A 22,402-nucleotide genomic window follows, 5' to 3' on the forward strand; every position below is an offset into this window, starting at 1 on the left:
AAAGTCAAGAGGGTGAGGATGGCCAGGAGCCAAGAAAGGGAATCTAAATGTATATCCAAGGCAGTCTGGAACTTTCATGCAGGTACAAGAAACTTATGTCAAAGTAGCCACAAGATTATTTCATAGGAGATGAACAAATGTGACGCCCTGTTTACTGCTAAAAATCAAAGCTTTGTGTGAAATCTCTAATTTATGGAGAAGCTAGGTAAGAAAGCCTTCACCTGTCTGTTCTTTTCCTGATCCCTTCTCCTCATTTCCTGAAATGTAGAGACTGAGGCCCACTGGGCACTGGTATCCCCATCACTGTGGGGGTGGGGGGGAGCGTCTATTTTGATGGTTGATTTTGCTGAACCAGGTACTTCCTTTCCCATTTTCTAATGATTTTGTAACATACAAACTGACTCTTTTCCCTTCCCTTCTCCTTCCCCTGGGAAAATACAACGAATAAATACTTACTGGTACTGAAACTGTCAAAAAAAAAAAAAAGAAAGAAAGAAAGAAAGAAATGAGCAACAGTAAGAACTACTTCTCTGGTCATTAAAAGCTTAGAGTAAATTTTAAGGAAACCTAAGCCAGAGCTAATATTCATCTAATGCCCCCAAAAAGCACTTCTTTATCATTTCAGCAGTAAGCAACTCACTAAATTAACAGCCAAATGAACATACAAGACAGACTAGTGTAGCTTTTAAGGAAACACTCTATAGTCTCTATTTAAAAAATTAAAAGTAAAGACTATACCACCTAACAGTATAACCATCATTCAGACAAAAGACCAGCAAGAGAACAGTCAGGTACCATAATCTGAGACAGCTGCAGAGTATTACTACATTCCATAAAAATATTATTTGGGAAGAGAAGAGGTAACCAACATTTGAGTGCTTTACCAGGCAGCAATGAGTTTAAGTGATATGTTGTATTTTTTACTTAATCATGTTAACTAAGGCAGATCTGTTACACCTGTTTTGAGATGATACTTAAAAAAAAAAAAAAAGGGTCATATCTGTTTTAGATGATGCCTAGGCCATGATCTGAACTAATATTTGTTGATTCTAAAGTTCACACTCCCTAACAACATACCCATACCCATACCTGATACAATGCTGCATACAGACTAAATTTGTGCAGAGACCATTAACTATGAAAAGGAATATAGGGGGAAAAAAAAAATCCAGGAAGGCATCTGTGCCTGCCTGTATATTGTCTGGATTCAGGGATAACAATGAAACATACTGAATTTAATTTGGGATGCCTACTAAATATCTAGGCAGAGAAAGAAATATGGATCTTGAATGTGTAAGAGATCCAGGCTAGAAATGGAAAGGTTATAGAACTATGAGGATGGATTAGAAGGAGCCTGGAGTAAGAAGGCCACCAAGAACACATACACCAGGCTGGTGCGGTGGCTCACACCTGTAATCCCAGCACTTTGGGAGGCCAAGGCGGGCAGATCACCTGAGGTCAGGAGTTCGAGACCGGCCTGGCCAACATGGTGAAACCCTGTCTCTACTAAAAATACAAAAATTAACTGGGTGTGGTGGCATGTGCCTGTAGTCCCAGCTACTTGGGAGGCTGAGGCATGAGAATCTCTTGAACTCAGGAGGCGAAGGTTGCAGTGAGCCGAGATGGTGCCACTACACTCCAGCCTGGGATACAGACCGAGACTCCGTCTCCAAAAACAAAAAACAAACAAACAAAAAAACCACAAAACAGAAGAACAACATACATACCAAAAATTTCAATGTAGCAGAGAAAAAACCTGCAAAAATGAGCACCAGGACAAAGTAGAATCCCAGAAATTAGAGACATCTGGCATAGCCAAATGCTACAAGAGGTTAATCAGGATGCAAAACAAATCTTGTTTATTTAGTTTGGCAATTAGGTGAATGCAAGTGACATCAGTTTTTGAAAGTGATTCCAAATTCCAACTGGTTAAGGAATGAGTGGCAGGCAAGGAAACAGAAATGCATTTTTGGCTCATTTTTCATTAATTCAACAAATATCTGAGAGCTTAGTAAGTGGCAAGCTGAGTGTTTCGTATATAAAAAGGAGACAGGACCATGTTTCAAAGCTTTTTTATAAATGACCACCCTTACTTATATCTTATTTGTTAGCATTATAAAGTTTCCATCACATCACTTTCTTTCTTTTTTTAAACTCCTGAGTTCAAGTGATCCTCCCATCTCAGCTTCCCCAGCAGCTGGAACTATAGGCATGTGCCACCCCACCAGAGAAGTTTCTTTTGGGATGACTTTTATTCTCCTTTACCAACATTTTTCTTAAAATTTCAAGCTGTGCATTTGCATTTGATATAATTTACGAAGAAAAACACTACAGGGAAATACAGATTTTTCAAAATTGGAGGTTTGCAAAATCACCTTTTAACAGTCAATGAATGCTGTTAATATTTTATTGACTTATTTAATGCACAAATTCACCAAACGGTCTCTACCTTTTGCAAGACAAAAAAGTTCCCTGATACCTACAGCAATGCCTTCACTGAACAGATACAGAAATCCAGAAATTACGCTGATACTTTGACATAGAGGATATGAATTGATATACTTTCCTGGTAAGCATGTACATTGACACTGTCCATTTGGACAGAAATAGTAACAACCTTTATGGTGAGGCAGATGTTATCATTCCATTTTACAGATGATAGCACTGAGGCTCAACAATCTGCTCAGTTATAAAGTTAATTAAGTGGTAAAATTCAATCTGTAATCAACCATTTCCCAAAACTCTAATTCTTTTAACTAGTACCTAACAATAACAAAATTATTTCAAATATATTAGCCCAGAAGAATAGTGTACAGATAGTAAAGATAAAAAGGACTGTACAGCTATGTTAAGTGGGGAAAAATTGCAATGTGGACCCAAACTAGAAAGTAATATACTAATATATAATTGTTATGAGGAGTTGAACCCAAGAATTTTTTAAAGAAAAAAATTAAGTGGCACAGAGGTATAAAGTGATGTGCCTACCCAAGCAACAAGTTAGAGGCGATATAAATTACTAAAATAGGGTCAATTTTTTGATGCTTTAAATGACCCTACAATACTGAATGTGGTGACTTAGGAAGAAAGTGTCAGCATGATTTATTTAGATGATCAAAATACTGATCAAATTTCAATTTCTCAAGACTAAAGGTCAATACACTGTTTTTATGTTTTAGAACTCAATTTTACCTTAGGGCATGAGGGAAAGCTTTAAATAGCCAGCATGTTATACATTCAGAAATTCTTATTTCTGAATATTGACTCATCCAAATATTTCCAGGTAAGACATGGGCCCTCTACTGTTGCCAGTTCTGCTGAGTTTGATTCTCCCATTTGTTTGTTGCTTTTTTTTTTTTTTTGAGACAGTCTCACTTTGTCTCCCATGCTGGAGTGCAGTGGTGGGATCTTGGCTCACTGCAACCTCTGCCTCCCGGTTTCAAGCGATTCTCATGCCTCAGCCTCCTGAGTAGCTGGGATTACAGACGTGCACCACCACACCCAGCAAATTTTTGCATTTTTAGTAGAGATGGGGTTTTGCCATGTTGCCCAGGATGGTCTTTAAATCCTGGCCTTGTGTGATCTGCCCACCTCAGCCTCCCAAAGCGCTGGCATTACAGGCGAGAGCCACCATGTCTGGCCTGATTCTCCCTTTTTTTTTTTTTTTTTTGAGACAAAGCCTTGCTATTGTCCCCCAGGCTGGAGTGCAATGGCGCGATCTCGGCTCACTGCAACCTCCGCCTCCCCGGTTTAAGTGACTCTCCTGCCTCAGCCTCCCGAGTAGCTGGGATTACAGGCGCCTGCCACCATGCCTGGCTAATGTTTGTATTTTTAGTAGAGACGGGGGTTTCACCATGTTGGTCAGGCTGGTCTCAAACTCCTGACCTCAGTTGATCCACCCACCTCGGCCTCCCAAAGTGCTGGGATTACAGGCGTGAGCCACTGTGCCTGGCCTGATTCTCCCATTTTTAAAATAAACACTGATGGCCTTCTTTATAAAACTGTTAATAGCATGAAATGAAAGCATCTAAAATAATCAGTGCTTAATAAATGTCTTGGTCTCTAACTCCTACCCCCTCTCACATACACCAATCCCCGACTTTTGTTTCTCTTAATTAAAAATCAATTATACTGCTCATTGCTATATCTGTTTTATTTTCCATTTATGCATGGTATATTTTTCTCACTCTAAAACAAAATGAACTTGTTAGTTGTAAATGATTTATTACTGAGTCCTTACTTGTGTCTAAAGCAAAGTTGCAATTTATTAATCTTAAATAAAAGAGTTAATTGTCATGGTCACCAATATTGTTTGAGGAATCTCTCAAGAGAAGTATATAATGTTGTGGTGATCTAAGATTTTGATTGATTTTCCACAATAATTTGTTAGAATAACGGTAAGTGCACAGGCTCAATAATAACTGCCCGAGAAATCTTGGCTCTACCACTTGCTACCTATGAGAATTCCTCCATCTGTAAAATGGGGATAACAGTAGTCCCTCCTTATTTAGTTAAGTCTAAGAATTAAATACAAACAATACATACAAAAGCACTTAGAGCAACACCTAGCACAGAGTAAATACACAATAGATATTAATGAGTACTACACGTAATTCTTTTGAGAAAAAGAGAGAATCCTGGAGTTAATCCAGAGCAGTGTTTTTCAAACTGTGGGTTGAGATCCAGGAATGAATTACATAATTCCTACTGTGTGTACTGTGGTCAAAAATATGAAGGACAACAGCCCAGGGAAAAATTATTTTGTTTTTAGAAATGAGGAAAATAAGGCCCAAAATAACTGCTAGTCACCTTTCAATAATGTGTAGGTTCCTTCAAACCATTAATAAATTTCTCATGGGCAAACCGGAGCGGGGGTGGGGTGGGGGGGGCAGGGAAGAAGCACTGCCATGTCAGAAAAAAACTTCATGTTTTTCAATCAAGTTTAGATACACATAAGTATTATACACAGAGTAGACAACAGATTCAAAGATAATTCAGTTACTTATGACCAACATCCAATTTCAGTCAACAAACCTCAGGAAAAAAGCTATTAGCTTTATATATCAAGTCTAAAAGCCACAAAATTTAATATAATTCCAACAAAATCTACTAGTGAGAAAAACCAGAAATTGTGGTCTTCTATAGAGAGTGAGAAAGATTTGGTTTTGAATCTGGGTCTGGCCATGCAGATGACTCTGGGCAAATTAATTTCTCTAAGCCATAATGTCCTCATTTGTAAAAAGGATATACTGATATCTGCTTGATAGGTATCAGTTTCAGTTAGAACTAAATGAGTTTTTGTATATGGAATGACTCGTACTATGTCACCCCGCAGAGGACAAGTATTCAATAAACACCGTTAGGTGCAGAGCTCCCCCAACATTATAGCCTGTATTCACAATTAATGTTATCTGTGAATGAATAAAAAGTGTCAAAGCAGCCAGAGAAAACCATGAAATCCTCCTGCATAAAAATAACAACAGCCCCTCCAAATACAAGACTTCTTTAGAAGGGATAAGCATAGTGGAAAAGAATGCTACTTGTCAGCAGTAGATATGAGCTTGGCTCTTTGCTTTGTCACTAGCAGAATGACTATGAAAACGTCTAAATATGACCACTGCCCTGCTGCATGACATATAGAAGCCTGAGACACAAAATCCTCTAAAAATTATGAAGAATGATTCATCCTGATCCCTCATACCAGTAAAGAGTTTCAAGTGAAGATAAAGAAGAACGAGGGTATCTGGCCTGTGATACCTGCAGAATTCACAATGTTTAGGGATTAGTCAAAGTAACATGGGTACTCTGCTATTTACCAGTGGCATAAACCTTAACAAGTTTAGTCAACCTTTCTAAACTCCAAGGATTTTTAAAATCTGAAAAACAGGAATTAATGGGCTCACCTCACCACATTGTTAGGATTAAATAGGATAATGTATGTAAATCTCTTAGCCCAGTACCTAACACATAAGTGCTGAGTAAATGGAGCAAAACAATGTGAAGATAACTAGTATTTCCTCTCTGTTCTTTAACTATTAGCCAAATGATAAGGTTTCCAGATGATCCTGGTTAATTCCCTTTAAGTATGGTATCCTCAAATGGACAGGGTCCGGACGTAGTCCTGCACTGTGAATTGGCTTTTGTATTAGTTTCCTATTTCTGTAGTAAGAAATTACCACAAATTTACTGGCTTAAAGCAACACAAATTACACTTTTGAGGTCAGAATCTCACTAGCATCAGCAAGGCGACATTCCTTGTAAAGGCTCTAGGGAAGAATCTATTTCTTGTCTAATCTTGCTTCTACAGGGTGCCTACATTCTTTTGGCTCATGGCCTCTTCTTCCATCTTCAAAGCCAGCAGTATAGCATCTTCTCCTTCTATCTCTTCTGTTGTTTTATTTCCTTCTTTGACTCCTACCTCTCTAGTATAAGGACCCTTATGATTACACCGGGCCCACCCAGATAATCCAGGATAATTAACCCGTCTCAACATTCTTAACCTTATTCACATCCCCAGTCTCTTTTGCCTTGCAAGGTAATATATTTACAGGTTTTAGAATTAGATTATGAACATCTTTGGAGAAGGGGGCATTATTTATTACCTAAAAAAAATAGGGCTTAATTCATTAACTCCAATTTGTAATCATCTGAAATCTTCAGGCTGCTTTCACCAGAATTCCCATCAAAACTAGATCTTCACATTGACTTTGTGTTGGTTTCTAACAGACCTTTCAACCTATTTAGCAAGTCTAGAAGTGATTTTCTGCTATTTGATGTAGCTCCAGCTATTCCAATCAGCTTGTAAATTTCATGAACTCATTTGGTATGCTTTCCTCCAAGTCAATGTTTTCTAAAAATTAAAATAGGACCTATTTGAAAGATGACCTTAACTGATATTCCTTGGGTATTTATAACCAGTCAGCTAAAATCCACTTAGCAATACTGTCATCCTGCCCATATTTTTCTAATTCATTCATAATGCAATCATATACAATACCTTTCTGAAATATTTGGTATATAGTTTTCACTAGACATAACATACTTTACAAATGGTAGTCTGTTATAAATTGTTAGTGAATCTGTTCTGGCTCTTAGTGACTAGCAATTTCTAAAATTAATAAAAACTGGCAGACAAAAGTAAACTGGCCCAGAGTCTACAATTTCTAAAGTATGCTTTTTCCTACTTTTTGAAATAAAGTTGCCGAGGCAATAAGAATTAGAAGACTATATACTAATCTAAGCCATCTTTTTAAAACTTAAATCTCTCAAGCAATATTTCTTTCTGAATCTTTCTCAATGGGATATTTATCCCTTTCTTTTCGAAACCTAAACTTTAAAAAATGTATTTTCCTAAATTTACTTTGTAACGGATTACACTGATTATTTCCAGTATTCCTTCCTTTGGTAGTATGACCTCCAAGATGACAAAGCAATTTTCCCTTAAGCTCCTATTACTATGTGAAGTTGAATTTAAAGAAAAAATAGAAATGTTTCCTAAAAGAAATACATATATACTCACAATGACAGGCTAGTATTCAAATCTCCTTCCTGTTAGATGCAAATATCAAAGCATTTAGTTCTACAGTCTTTCCTCCTCTTTCATACTCAACTTAATATATCAAAGACACTGTCTTAAACCAAATAGTTAAATCCAACACAACTTTTATGTTTATTAGCAACACATAGACACTGTATAACAAAGCACACGCTAAATTTCTTAACAAAAGATAATTTTAAACAAGTTTTAAAATCATCTTTCCTGTAAAGATGCTTTATCCATCTAATTTAAACCTGAAGACAACTCCATAAAACACTACTGCTAGAACAACTAGGTAAGGGATCATGTACAGTCCTTTTCTTAACCTGGTATTTCATCTTATGCCTTCAATATATAATTTACTAAATGTGTGTCTGGGTTAATACTTTTTTAATATCAGGTAATATAATGGGGCGAGGAAAGAAAGCCAATCACATGTTAAACAAGTACCACTATGTCACTTTACCTGAAAGCAGAATACTGTGTATGAGTTAATCAATGGTACATACACACAGTAAGAGGTACAATGAAACTGAAAAATGTACAGAAGCAATTCATTTAACAAACAAAATCCCAATATCTAATTAACAAACACAGGAAAAAGTGTTCAACCATACCAATCAATAATCAAAGTACAAATTAATACAAGGAGATAAAATTCTTACATTATCCAACGGACATGCATGTGGACTAGCATAAAGCAAAAAGAGTACTGGGCTGGTGAGATCTAATGGACGAGTTTTAATTCCGAAGAGAAATTTAAAACTATAAAACAAGAACTAAAAAATGTCCATACCTTTTGAACCAGTAATTCTACTTCTAGAAATTTATCTAAGGCAATTATTAGATATTCTCAAATTTTCCACAATAATTATTGAGAAAATGACAGAGAATTTCATGCTATTAAAAAGATCTGGTAACTACATAAAAAATTCCAAACACAAGTGGAGGAGAAAAAAAGACAAAGGAAATACTCTAAAATGCTAATGGTGTTTGATGGGATTGTTTTATCTACTAATTCAAATTTATCTAACTTGCATTAATTTTTAAATGAAAACAATTAAATTCATGGATTTAAAAATGAACTTTAATTTGTATCTGTCTGAGATACATCTTTGTTCAACTTTTGATTATAAATATAACTAAGTGATAAAGAAATATGGTTATACAGAATCACCATTATCACATAACTTGTCCACAGAGTAAATCTTGTCTTTGAAGCTCAGTTACTATGTTTAAATCAGTAACTTGCAAATCTTTAATAAAGCCTTTCAAAATTAGTAAATTTTTAAATTAAAAAATTAAATTAAAAACACCCCTCCCCCCACAAATCCTTACAATAACTGAAGCCCTGTGGATAAAATGAACAACATACACTGTGCAAAAAAAAAAAAATTTTTGGGAAACTGCTGCCATATATATATATATATACACACACACACACACACACACACACACATATACACATATATACACATATATACACATATATACACACACACACACACACACACACACACACACACACACACACATATATATTTTTTTGAGATGGAGTTTCACTCTCATTGCCCAGGCTGGAGTGCAATGGCGCGATCTCGGCTCACCACAACCTCCGCCTCCCAGGTTCAAGTGATTCTCCTGCCTCAGCCTCCCAAGTAGCTGGGATTACAGGCATGTGCCACCACACCTGGCTAATTTTTTTGTATTTTTAGTAGAGATGGGGTTTCTCCATGTTAGTCAGGCTGGTCTTGAACTCCTGACCTCAGTTGCTCTGCCCACCTTGGCCTCCCAAAGTGCTGGGATTACAGGCGTGAGGCACTGTGCCAGGCCTATATTTTTTTCAACATCTCTTCATTAAAGAAAGTGTCCCTTTAATTATTGATATACAGCTTACTTCCATATAAATTCCACTTGCTTGTCACAGACTCAAACCTTTTGAAACCTAAACATTTAACCACTTTTCCACTTGCTTAGAGGAAGGTATGAAAACAAGATAAATCTGGCATTGTCAATATGAAATACTCCTAAGGTAGAGAAAATTTACAAAGCTTTTTCTTTTTGGTACAGATGGGATTTTGCCATGTTAGCCAGGATGGTTTCGAACTCCTGGTCTCAAGGGATTTGCCAGTCTCAGCCTCCCAAAGTACTGGGATTACAGGCGTGAGCCACCTCATCCCACCCCGAAAAGCTTTTTAAAACAAATAGGGGAAAGATGCTCTACCATTTTCCTGCTCCGACTGAGCAGAGTCTTGTTTGAATGTAAACATTACAAAACAGTTCCATCTACTTCTGTACAAAATTTACTCTTCAGATTTCAAGAGATTCCAAACCAGGTACTTTCATAAGCAACAAAACCGCACATAATATTCAAATTCAAAATTTTCATACTTACTTCTTCCTAAATTTCTTTACTATACCATATTCTCCTCCACAATCTTGTTGACTTTTCTTCTAGTTCCGGAATTTAAAGAAATGTTTTACCAAATAAACACATGGAATTGCTAAATTACATTTAATAATAAATATAACACCATTTTTAGGTTAACTACTTATATTTCTATGTGCAGTAAGAACATTAAGAAAACAGAATATAGGTGGGGCACGGTGGCTCATGCCCGTAATCCCAGCACTTCGGGAGGCCGAGGTAGACAGATCGCCTGAGGTCAGGAGTTTGAGACCAGCCTGATCAACATGGAGAAACCCCATCTCTACTAAACATACAAAATTAGCCGGGCGTGGTGGCACATGCCTGTAATCCCAGCTACTCAAGAGGCTGAGCCAGGAGAATCACTTGAACCCTAGAGGTGGAGATTGCGGTCAGCCAAGATCACGCCATCGCACTCTAGCCTGGGCAACAAGAACGAAACTCTGTCCCAAAAAAAAACAAAAAACAAAAAACAAAAAAAACACAACAGAATATAATACACAATGGTTTAAACTTCATCTGCATTATTTTTCACTCTTTAATTGTACCATCGAGCCCTTATTCTATTACCATTTACTCCGGGCAGAACTAATTTTCTAAGTATTAATAGTTAATTTCTGAAAACTTACTCTATAAAGCATGTCCTAATGTATTATTATTCTTCTTTTTTTTTGTTTTTTTGAGATGGAGCTTCACGCTTGTTGCCCAGGCTGGAATGCAATGGTGTGATCTCAGCGCACCACAACCTCCGCCTCCTGGGTCTAAGCGAGTCTCCTGCCTCAGCCTCCCGAGTAGCTGGGATTACAGGCATGTGCCACCATGCCCGGCTAATTTTGTATTTTTAGTAGAGACAGGGTTTCTCCATGTTGGTCAGGCTGGTCTCGAACTCCTGACCTCAGGTGATCTGCCTGCCTTGGCCTCCCAAAGTGCTGGGATTACAGGCGTGAGCCACCGCGCCTGGCCATGTATTCTTCATTTTACACTACCTCCCCTACAATTTCCAAGGGTCTAGCCTTCACTCAAACTTTCCACTTTTAGAATCAAGGCTGTATACCTCACCAGGGTTTTTAACCCTATTGGTTCCAGCTTATCACATTAGGTCATTTTCCAAATGTACTTCCCAAATCAATCCACAACTTCTTCCTTTTCACTTGCTTGAAAGACAGGCCAGGAGGTGATTTTAGGAAATGCCAAATGTTTTATCCATGCCAGTGCTCTCCTTTAGCAGTACAGGTGCCATACCTCAGCATCACATTTACTGTGCCTCACTAATGAACTTCTGGTCTCCCTCCCCTCACAGTTGGCTATTAAAACATTTTTGTGAATTAAACACTTCTTCCTAGACATCAATACAAGAAATAAAAATTGATTCCAGGACATAAAATCATTTAATTAGAAAACAATATTAATGCTAGCATTTATAAAATCCTTAATGAGTTAAAATTTTTAATGGAGTATAAACTGGTAAAAAGAATAGACATCTTTAGTTTTAAATGCTGATTACATTTACTGCATTACTGTGGATGGCTCAAAAACTTAACCAAACCTTGTTATTCTTAAACTGTGACAAGTCCTTCCAAAAGTACACATTATTTTGATAGTTATCACTTGCTACCATGCTTCAGACGTATAAAAGCTGTTCACTGAGTCTTCTCCCCACATAAATGGTCCATTAGATAAGGACTCACTGCTCAAAAACTTCACAGCAGCCATGTGGGGCTGTGGACTAGACTCAGATGGGCTCTTCAAAGGACTGTGTCAAATCTCAGAACTGTTACTTTTACACTGTGTGACCTCAGACCATTCGCCAAACTTCTCTAGTTTCCTTACCTTTAAAATGGAAAGAATGCAAAGACATGTACACAACACCTAACTCATTAGCCAGCACCTGGTTATTTAATGGGCAAATGCAGGATTCTTTTCTTGTCCTTCCCTTAAACTGTTCCCACTGGATTACTCCTTAAAATAGTACGTCAAAACTAAACCTATCCTTTGAACAAACTTAGGATTCGGGATCAACAAAATAATTTACAGAGCCATGCAGAGGCCGCTAGATAGTTTTCATCTTGACAGAAAATCAGATAAGGCAAGTAAACAACAAAATGGTTATGATATAACCTGACATTTCTGTGTATTTTACAACAGCTTTGTGATATAAATCACATACCATAAAAATCCATCCATTTAAAATGGACAATTCAATGGTTTTTGATATATTCAAGAGTTGTGCACCCATCAACACTTTATAGAGTATTTTCATCACCCCCAAAACAAATCCCATCCCCATTACCAGTCACTCTCCATTCCTCCTTTTGCTGTCTGCCAGCCAATAATCTACTTTCTGTCTCTACGGGTTTGCTTTATAAAATATATCCCTATATTTGTTAAAATAGATAGTGGTAAAAGACCTTCATAAAGATTTGGACTTATTTCAACTGATCCCTAAACTTGGCTGCCCTATCTAAAGTGATTTAACATTCAGCATCTTTTAATCAATGTAAACTAAGTCATGTATGGCCATTAAAGTTTAAAGACTATTATATATTTCTTAAAGGCTTTAAAACGGATATCACAGTAATTTTCGGTATTACAGGTTTCCTTTAAGCAGGGTATTATAATTCTACTTTAACTGAAAGTCAAAAGGAGGAAATATAGAGGAACACTCATGACAGAATGCATTAAGATATACTGGGCATATTGCAGAGGGAGACTTTACAGACTAGTGGATTGGTCAACTATTGCTCTTTAATGCAACTGCATACCTAGAGTGAGGCAAGAGGAGCAGTCCACCCAGGTGCAGGCAGTAAGTGGGTGAACTATCAAGACTAAATAAAACAGCAAGACTTTGATTTTGTTCTTTTATTAACATCAAGCAAGAGCAATTCTTTTTTTTTTTTTTTTTTTGAGATGGAATCTCGCTCTGTTGCCCGGGCTGGAGTGCACAGGCACAATCTCGGCTCCTCGCAACCTCCACCTCCCAGGTTCAAGTGATTCTCCTGCCTCCTGAGTAGCTGGGATTACAGGCATGAGCCACCACACCCAGCTAATTTTGTCTTTTTAGTACAGACAGGGTTTCTCAATGTTGGCCAGGCTGGTCTCAAACTTCTGACCTCAGATGATCCACCCACTTTGACCTCCCAAAGTGCTGGGATTACAGGCGTGAGCCACCACGCCTGGCCTGAGCACAGGCAATTCTAAAAAACCCAGGGATAAAATATATCGCCCCCAAAATATTTTGGCAATACTCTTTAAGTTTTAAGGGGTTGCTGTGGTTACTGCTGAGTTTTAACAACATAAAAATGTCAAATCTGCACATTTTTATTACATACCCTTTAATAAGCAATCCATCTTAATTGGAAGTTTATTAGGAAATCCCCCAGTTATACAGTCAGTTCCCAACACATGCAGATTTGATATACCTGTTCATTTGGAGAGTAAGTACAAAAAGGTTCAGGATAGCTTCAGCTCTCCTCAGGCTCAGCATGACTCCAATCCTATTGTACCTATATACATTCCTCTGTTTAAATAGTATATTCAAAATTATAGCTGTGTCCAATTTTTCTGAGATAAATTTTTTCTGGCATAAATATTTACAAACAACCAGAATCGGCCTCAAACAAATATAGAGATAAATAAAACTTTAAAAGTGAAGACCTGTGAACAAAAATTATAGAGATGCCATCACTAAGCAACAAAGTACAAGGAAGCTGTACTTCCTTGTACGTGAATATCAAAAGTGGTTATCAAATATAATAGACATTTACATTGAATTTTTAGGTGATAACCATTTCAGTAAAATTTTGACTGAGGCATTTCAAAGTCATTACACTCAAGGTCGGGTGTGGTGGCTCACGCCTGTAATCCCAGCACTTTGGGAGGCTGAGGCAGGTGGATCACGAGGTCCAAGTTCAGGACCAGCCTGGCCAACATTGAGAAACCCCGTCTCTACTAAAAATACAAAAATTAGCCGGGTGTGGTGGCACGTGCCTGTAATCCCAGCTAGTCAGGAGGCTGAGGCAAGGAAACCGCTTGAACCCAGGAGGCGGAGGTTGCAGTGAGCTGCGATTGCGCCACTGTACTCCAGCCTGGGTGACAGAGCAAGACTCCATCTAAAAAAAAAGTCATTACACTCAATGCTGAAAAAAATACATGGATAGTATTGTGATTTCTAGAATTTATTGTGAAGTATGCTTATAAATCGCTGCCAAACACAGTATGATGTTTAAAACTTCCTATTTGTGTATGTGTTGCTGTATGTACAACATTTTGTAATTAAAATTAATTAAAAGTGCTCTTAACTGTAGGTGAAAACAGATGAATAAATCTGGTTGTAACTGTCTACCGAACACAAATATGTGAAGATCAATTTTAATAGTCATTGACAAACCTGCCTAAGACTTTTAAAGATAGTGGCCAGCCTGGCCAACATGGTGAAACGCCGTCCCTACTTAAAATACAAAAATTGGCCGGGCCCGGTGGCGTGCACCTGTAATCTCAGCTACTAGGCAGGGCTGAGGCAGGAGAATTGCTTGAACCCAGGAAACGGAGGTTGCTATGTGCCAAGATCATGCCACTGCACTCCAGCCTGGGTGACAGAGCAACACTCCGTCTCAAAAAAAACAAAACAAAACAAACAAAACAAAAAACAAAACAAAAAATCCTGTAACATTTGTATTCATTATTGTGACATATCAGTATGCAGATAAGTTTTTCCACTATTTCAAAAAACATATATTAATGCAATTTAAAAGTCTGGTATGATTTATATGATGTGTGTGTGTGTGTGTGTGCGCGCGCGCGCGCGCGCACATACAGTTCAAGTTTTCTTTCTGGCCATTTCCATTACTCATTTCATGATTATTTCTGAAAATAATTTTGCTATACAAAAAGGGTGTGTTTTAAAAAAATCTGCTCTGGATGTCAAATATGCCAGCTATACCACTGCTCTCCGGTCTCTTCCAACTGGGATTATTGACCCACATGGATTTACACCAAGAATCATCAATTACCCAAACATAAATTATAACTTTCAAGAGGTATTTGGATGGCCATCCACCTTTCACTGAGCCCTGCTGTTCTCCTCTACCCCCTAGTAAAAACCCGGGCTTCTAATTCTTAACTCCACTGCTGAGTTACACTGGTTTTCTTCCTGAATTTACTACTAATCTGGTACAGTGCACTTTACTGGAATATAGGGTTTCTGTATACTTACTTATCTATGTCTTAAAAAGCACCAATAAAAAGCTCAAACTACTCAGCAATGAAATGTAATCAATAAACGATGCAAATATTGAACAGAATGAAGGTGATCAGGGTATAATAAATTATAATATTGTTTGTAAAATCTCTTGTAGTTCTCAAAATCACAGCAGCACAGTATTAATTACACTTAATATTAACACAGAAATGTAGACATGTCTCTCCTAAGCTCTCAACAGATCCTGGTAAGGCCTCTTCTAACGCAAATTTAACTATTACCCACCTCTATATTTTCTGTGGTTTGACAGAAACATAATACTAATTAATATACCAATGTTACCAAAATTTTGAACTGTTAATAGGTAAGCTGCTTATTCTGCTATATACCTGACAACACAGTGTAGTTTTCAGCTTATCATGAAAGTTGTATGCTGTTGCTCTGAAGTGTGCTAAAAAAGGATTTGGCATATTGTCTCAACAAATGTTATGAATAACACTAAAGGTTCATTACTGATGTAACATTTTTTCCCTACTATGTTATCAAGGTGTATTTCAAATGAGATTTGAGTGTGCGCAGATATGTACAAAAAAGTTACTTCCAATTCTGAAGTAAATTATATTTGTTCGTGCCCCATGACACAGAACAACCTACAATTTTTACAGTGGCTTCGTATGTGGTAAAGAAAACAAACAAAAAAAAACTACCAATTGTGTCATCTCTCTAGTAGGTACAGTTTTAACCTGAATTCTGTTTCACAAGGTTTAGAAACCAACTTTTCCATTATTCTAATTGCTCTCTGAATCAATTCCTCATGTGTTCATGTAATTTTTTCTGAAACAGAATACTAGACAAAATGATAGACTAGGGAGGGAAATACTTACAACAAGAACATCAGTGATAAACCCCGCTACAGAAAGCTCTGAAGAATCACTTTATCGCAATCACTATAAAGCCAGACCAATACCCTTGTCAGAAACTAAGAATTCCCTGGGTCAAGAAAGTAGAGAAAGAAAACACTGTATAACCAACTTTCAACATTCAAAAACTCCTGGGATAACAGCACAACATGGTCAACTTTTGCAAGGGAAATCTCCAATTTTACTGCCAATAATCGACCTGGTCCTCTACATCTTTTCCATACAGTAAAGAACTTTGAACCCTCTGTCTACATGTCTTTAGATAAACGTCTCAGAAATGATCAAACCCCAAACATTAACACTACAGGTTAAAAAAAAAATACTTAATAAGGCATCCCCATCAGATGAACTAAATTCTAGAAGACAATCATCCCTAGTAATCAACAATAGTCATACAGAACAATTTACAGTAAGAGAAGGGAGTACCAAGCTCCCACTAAGATGTAAAACTCAACTCTTCCTTCAGAATAACATGATTGACAGCCCAACTGGATAAGTGTACCAATGTCAATTCGTACATTAAGTATTCATAAAGCCTAATTTATGTCCAATTTTAAAGATAACCATGAATATACAAGTACTCGCATTTTTTTTCTGTACTGCAAAGTAGCATTATATGCATACCACCTCAGCACTGCAGTTCTCAAAGAGTAATCCAAGGACCTCTGAGAGGTCTTTGAGTCCCTTTCCGTGGTTTGAGGTCAGAACTGTTTTCATATGAATACTAAGATAGTTCTTGCCTTTTTGTTCGTTTTCTCAGAAGTATGTAGCAGTATATTCCAGAGGCTACCTGATGTGTGTTACTGCAACAGACTGAATGAAAAAGTGGAATGAGGATCCAGGTTTTATTAAACCAAAGTTTAAATGACGTGCAAAAATGCAAAATGATGTCACTCTTTATTAATTTTTTTGTTTTAGAAACGTTACTTTTCATTAAAAATGTTATTTATATTAACATATTGTAATAAGTTTATTGTTATTTTTAGTAAATTAATAAACACTTGCATTTCTCAGTTTAAATTTCTAATATGGTAAATATCAATAAATATAATAACCAATAGATAGATACAAAAGCTCTCTGTGGCCCTTAACTTTTTTTTTTTTTTGAGATAGAGTCTCGCTCTGTCGCCCAGGCTGGAGTGCAGTGGCGCGATCTCGGCTCACTGCAAGCTCCGCCTCCCGGGTTCACACCATTCTCCTGCCTCAGCCTCCCAAGTAGCTGGGATTACAGGCGCCCGCCACCACACCCAGCTAATTTTTTGTATTTTTAGTAGAGACGGGGTTTCACCGTGTTAGCCAGAATGGTCTCGATCTCTTGACTTTGTCATCTGCCCGCCTCGGCCTCCCAAAGTGCTGGGATTACAGGTGTGAGCCACCACGCCTGGCGGTGGCCCTTAACCTTTAAGAATTTAAAAGGATCTAGCCAGGCATGGTGGCTCATGCCTGCAATCCCAGTACTTTCAGGGGGCTAAGGTGGGCTAATCACTTGAGCTCAGAGGCTTGAGACCAGCATGGGCAACAGAGCCAAACCCCGTGTCTACCGAAAAAAATTGAAAAATTAGCCAGGCATGGTGGCAGAGGTTTGTGGTCCCAGCTACTTGGGAGGCTGAGACAGGAGGATGGCTTGAGCCCAGGAGGCGGAGGTTGCAATGGGTGGAGTTTGTGCCACTGCCCTCTAGTCTGGGCCACAGAGCCAGACCCTGTCTCAAAAAACAAATAAATGGGTCTAAAACCAAAAAGTTTGAGAACAGCTGTCCTACAGAAATTCCTACACATGCGCACCAGGAGACATGTTTGAAAAGTTCATTGCAGCCTGTCAGCAAAATATTAACTAATCTTAATAGACAGTATTAATATTTGAGCAAACAAAAAAAGCAGGTCAAAGCTGCAGTAAGCCGTGCTGGTGCCACTACACTCCAGTATCAGAGAATATTATATATTGTTTATGGACCACAGAGATTAATACTAAATTATTTGATTGCCTCTCCTGCAAGTGGGAGGAGGGTTGGGGTTGGAGTGAGGATGAAAGGAAGACTTTATATTTTATTTGTAAATTAAAAACACAAAATAGTAACAACTGTATATTCTTAACTGTTTTATTTTCTCTGCACTATTTTTGTACTTTTTTTTCTTTTTTTTAAGATGGACTCTCACACTGTTGCCCAAGCTGGAGTGCAGTGGCCCAATCTCGGTTCACTGCAACCTCTGCCTCCAGGGTTCAAACAATTCTCCTACTTCAGCCTCCCAAGTAGCTGGGATTACAGGCGCCTACCACCAGGCCCAGCTAATTTTTTGTATTTTTAGTAGAGACAGGGTTTCACCATGTTAGCCAGGCTGGTCTGTAACTCCTGACCTCATGATTCACCCGCCTTGGGCTCCCAAAGTACTGGAATTACAGGCGTAAGCCACCGTGCCTGGACTATTTTTGTACTTCAAATGTCTTAAAACTGCAGATGATGCAAAAAAAGTGGGAGGGGCAAGATACAATTCTTCAGGATTTAGGCAAGATGGGTTAAAGACTAAAAATACAATCAATGGGTTAAAAAACACAATCTGGCTGGGCGCAGTGGCTCACACGTGTAATCCCAGCACTTTGGGAGGCCAGGAGGGTGGATCACGAGGTCAAGAGATCAAGTCCATCCTGGCCAACATGGTGAAACCCCGTCTCTACTAAAAATACAAAAATTAGCTGGGAGTGGTGGTGTGCTCCTGTAGTCCCAGCTACTCGGGAGGAGAGGCAGGAGAATCGCTTGAACCCAGGAGGCGGAGGCTGCAGTGAGCTGAGATTGCGCCACTGCACTCCAGCGTGGTGACAGAGCGGGTCTCCACCTTAAAAAAAAAAAAAATTCCATACTCTTTATTCTATTCCACAAACTTTAGCAAATTCTTCACATTCAGAAGTATATAAACTATACAACAGACACCATTAAGTATTAGCCATAATTGATAACTGATACTTTTTCACTACCCTTTTCAATCTTTCACAACACTTAATACATGTCTTGCCATAAAAATTCTCCAAATATTCTGTTAAATGGGTATCTTTAATAACCTCTCTTATCTTCCTTTCCTTCTGTATCAGAGATGGACGTCTTTTACTACTGCTTCTGATTTGTCCCATTTCTCTTATCCATAATTTTGCTTCAAGTTAGCCATCCCCTCTTGCTGGTAAACTATGCTATTCTACACCCCCTTCCTTGAAAATGCTAAAGCCTCTACTCCCATCTAAAAGACTAGGGATTCAACACTACTAACTAAAGCTAAAGACTTATATATATACATATAATACAAACAAACGTACTGCCTATCACCAGTGCCTAGTACATTGTTAACTGCCCTTCCTTCCCTCATCCTTAAGCAACATTTCCCTCTAATCCCTCAAAACCAAACCTCTAAAGACTACTTTACACTAGCTACCTCTTATTTCCTTATCTCCCATCACCATTCAACCCTAAACCTCAAATCCTGTTATCCTCAAACATTTCAGTGGCCAAGTCCCCTCATACTATACAAAATATTATCTTCGGACACAATTAAATTGGAGAGATCCCAATTCAAATCCTAGTTCTGCCATTAACTAGCAATATGCCCTTAGGGGAGTTACTATTTATTATAATTTCTTGGAAAATCAGTTTCCTCATCTGTAATTGGACGTCTATGCAGGGTTGTGGGAATACATATTAAATTAGATATGTGTACATATCTAATGCCTGACATGCCATTGGTCTTATATTAATTCCTTTTTCTCCCCCTTTCAATTTTCCCCCATCTTTCCCATCTGAACTCCTGGATGTCTCCCTCTATCTCTTAGTTGCTTCCAAGTTTAAGTCCTATAAGCCCAACTACTTGCCAAAAATTTCCACATGATTGTTCCACAATTAACCTGTTCAAAAATCAAACACATTTTCTTCTCTACTAAGTAGGCTTTTGATGACTTGTGATAAGGGTATCACCACTCTCTCAGCCCTTAGGATGTGGGGACAAAAGGTGCTTATAAACCTATCAGATGCCAAGGTCCATGGATTCCTTTGGCCCACATCCTTTTCCTATTCTCCATTCCCACTATACACTTGCCAAGTTCAGGTTTTACTTATCTTTCCTACCAAGTCTCTGCCTCCTACAACACATAACACTACGAACGAAACAGTTTTGATTACATTATCCCACTGCTTAAAACCTTCAATGTTTACCCACAGCCTAAAACTGAAATTCAAACACATTAGGCAAACATGAAACTTGTCAGGCCCAAACTACTTTACCATCCTTACTTTCCAGTAGCCTTCAGAATCAAAATACTCACTTTTCAGCACTACTGCCCTTCGATCACTGCTTCCTACATCTTCTGAAATCCTAAAACTGATACCTGCTCCTCTTCCCAAGCCTTCACTTATCTCCAATGGCTATGCCACACTGCAATGGAAGGATCCCAAAGGAAGCTGTTCTACCTCCTATTAAAATTATTTGTCTAAGTCTTATGTCCTCTATTGGATTAGACTTTTAGGTGACTGAAATCCTTGGTAGCTCTACAGTATTCAGGACATGGCTGTGCAGGTGAGCAGGCACTCAAAAGTTTAAGTGAAGATCAGATCTCAGAGATTCAAGATTATATGGGGAACGAATCAAGAACATTTCATGAATGGGGAGAAATAGTTGAGAAGCACTACAAATCAAGTAGGCACAGTAAGATGAATTTTAAACTCAGATTAATTTCTCTAGAGGAGTTTTAATTTAGCAGAAGAGAGCTGGCATTCTTTGCAGTTCATAAAGACTAGGAATAGAACTGAAATGAACTGGAAAATGAACAATGATAAGAAAATGCTCATTTTGCACATTTAAAAGGTCAAATATCACTTCCCTTTTTCAAGGAATCAATACCATTCCTAACTTTGGTTTTTCAAAGTAAAAATTACTGATTGTGCCTTTTCAGGATTAATAGAAAATACTTTGCTTAACAATGTGCTTGATGTCAACTTCCATAATGCCTGAATCAGAATACTTCTGATCTTAAGAATAAACTAAAAATCCTCTTCTTTCATCAAAAACATTCATTCTTCCGATTCTGAAATAAATTTTTAAAATACACATTCATTGTTGGGAGAAAAATGTACTTGAAATATTTTAACTATTGTTGTGCCATTTGTTTAAATTCTCATTCAACAATTATTTGCGAGGCACCTGTTTTGATTGGTAGAGAAGCGGGGAAAAGAACTGAAACTTCCTGCCCTCATGGAGCCAGGAGCCAACATGCCAGTGAATTCTACCTTCAGAAAACAATCAGCTTCCAACCCTGAAATGTTTGGAGCATTATCACAAATTCTCTGGCGATCAAAAACTAGGACATATTATTTTTATTGTTTTGAAAATCATCACAACTGAACTTTTACAAGACACTGTCCAATACCAGTTGCAACTTCTGCAGTTAGGGCATTTTATGTACCCATCAATTGAAGAAAATCACTTTTAGGATAATTTATATGGCAATAAATTGTCTCAACTGCAGTGTAATTGGAAAGTCCCATATATTATGGCACTGCAAATCTAAAGGAAAGTTATTGCACCATAATTGTTACAAGTAAACCTACAAAATCTGTGAGATGCAGCACGTTTTTAACGCCACATCCACACATCTCGAACTACAACATTTGATTTTTCAATGTTGCTTTATCTTTGGTATTTGGAAAGGGAAGACAATACAACTCAACCCATGACAATAGTTCCCATTCTGTAACTGCATTTTAAATCATCAATGGTCAAGTCTCCTCCTCCCAAATCGATTCTGACAAATAGGATGTATGGACTCTACACTCCAAAAGCAACACCTGGAATGATCAGAGAAACAACTAGAGAACTTTAAGGCCGCAGGCAGCTTTGTTCCCAGTTTGGAGAGGTTTTCACATGTAAATGTCCTCGTAGAAGGGAGCCGAGGATTAACTACCTCGGGAGGGGGTGCGAGGGTAGGGAACTGGAGGACAACGCCAGCTTTCTAGCGGACTAAGGCGGAGCGAATACTCTTCTCTCCCATTCAACTTTTTAGGCGTCACGTTGGGGCCATAGAGCCTATAAGAGGGTTATGTTCACGACTTTAAATTATAACGAGCCACCCCCTCTCCGTTTATTAGCCCTATTTCCCAAGTGCGTGAATCCCGGAGAAGGGGGATGAACACCCTCTTCAACTCCTCCCAGACCCGGGATCAGAGTCCAGCCGTCGACGCGCCGCGGCCTGAGCAACAGGAGAGCTGAAGCCACCTCTCCGCCAGCCCCACGACCGGCAGATGCTCCCGCTCCCCCGCCCCCAACCCCACACGCCCGCCCGCGCTTCTTTC

At 38.3% G+C, this 22,402-nt stretch overlaps 1 protein-coding gene across 9 annotated transcripts in view, besides 3 other annotated features; it reads right to left on the minus strand.

The window, feature by feature from the left end:
- Window positions 1-22,402, minus strand: part of SCAF4 (SR-related CTD associated factor 4) — a 61,119-nt gene that overhangs the window by 37,879 nt on the left and 838 nt on the right. The gene's annotated exons all lie outside the window — the stretch shown is intronic.
- Window positions 16,766-16,895: an enhancer, noted in NCBI's record as "active region_18355". NCBI's record gives its function as "activates an Ori minimal core promoter by ATAC-STARR-seq in GM12878 lymphoblastoid cells {active_cell/tissue: GM12878}" and the evidence as "EXISTENCE:reporter gene assay evidence [ECO:0000049][PMID:35858748]".
- Window positions 16,901-17,401: an enhancer, noted in NCBI's record as "H3K4me1 hESC enhancer chr21:33098092-33098592 (GRCh37/hg19 assembly coordinates)". NCBI's record gives its function as "activates a minimal SCP1, AML or CMV promoter by ChIP-STARR-seq in naive H9 embryonic stem cells {active_cell/tissue: H9 hESC(naive)}" and the evidence as "EXISTENCE:reporter gene assay evidence [ECO:0000049][PMID:30033119]".
- Window positions 21,661-22,302: an enhancer, noted in NCBI's record as "OCT4-NANOG-H3K27ac hESC enhancer chr21:33102852-33103493 (GRCh37/hg19 assembly coordinates)". NCBI's record gives its function as "activates a minimal SCP1, AML or CMV promoter by ChIP-STARR-seq in primed H9 embryonic stem cells {active_cell/tissue: H9 hESC(primed)}" and the evidence as "EXISTENCE:reporter gene assay evidence [ECO:0000049][PMID:30033119]".

This window comes from Homo sapiens, chromosome 21 (assembly GCF_000001405.40).
Source record: "Homo sapiens chromosome 21, GRCh38.p14 Primary Assembly".
Classification (NCBI taxonomy): Eukaryota; Metazoa; Chordata; class Mammalia; order Primates; family Hominidae; genus Homo; species Homo sapiens.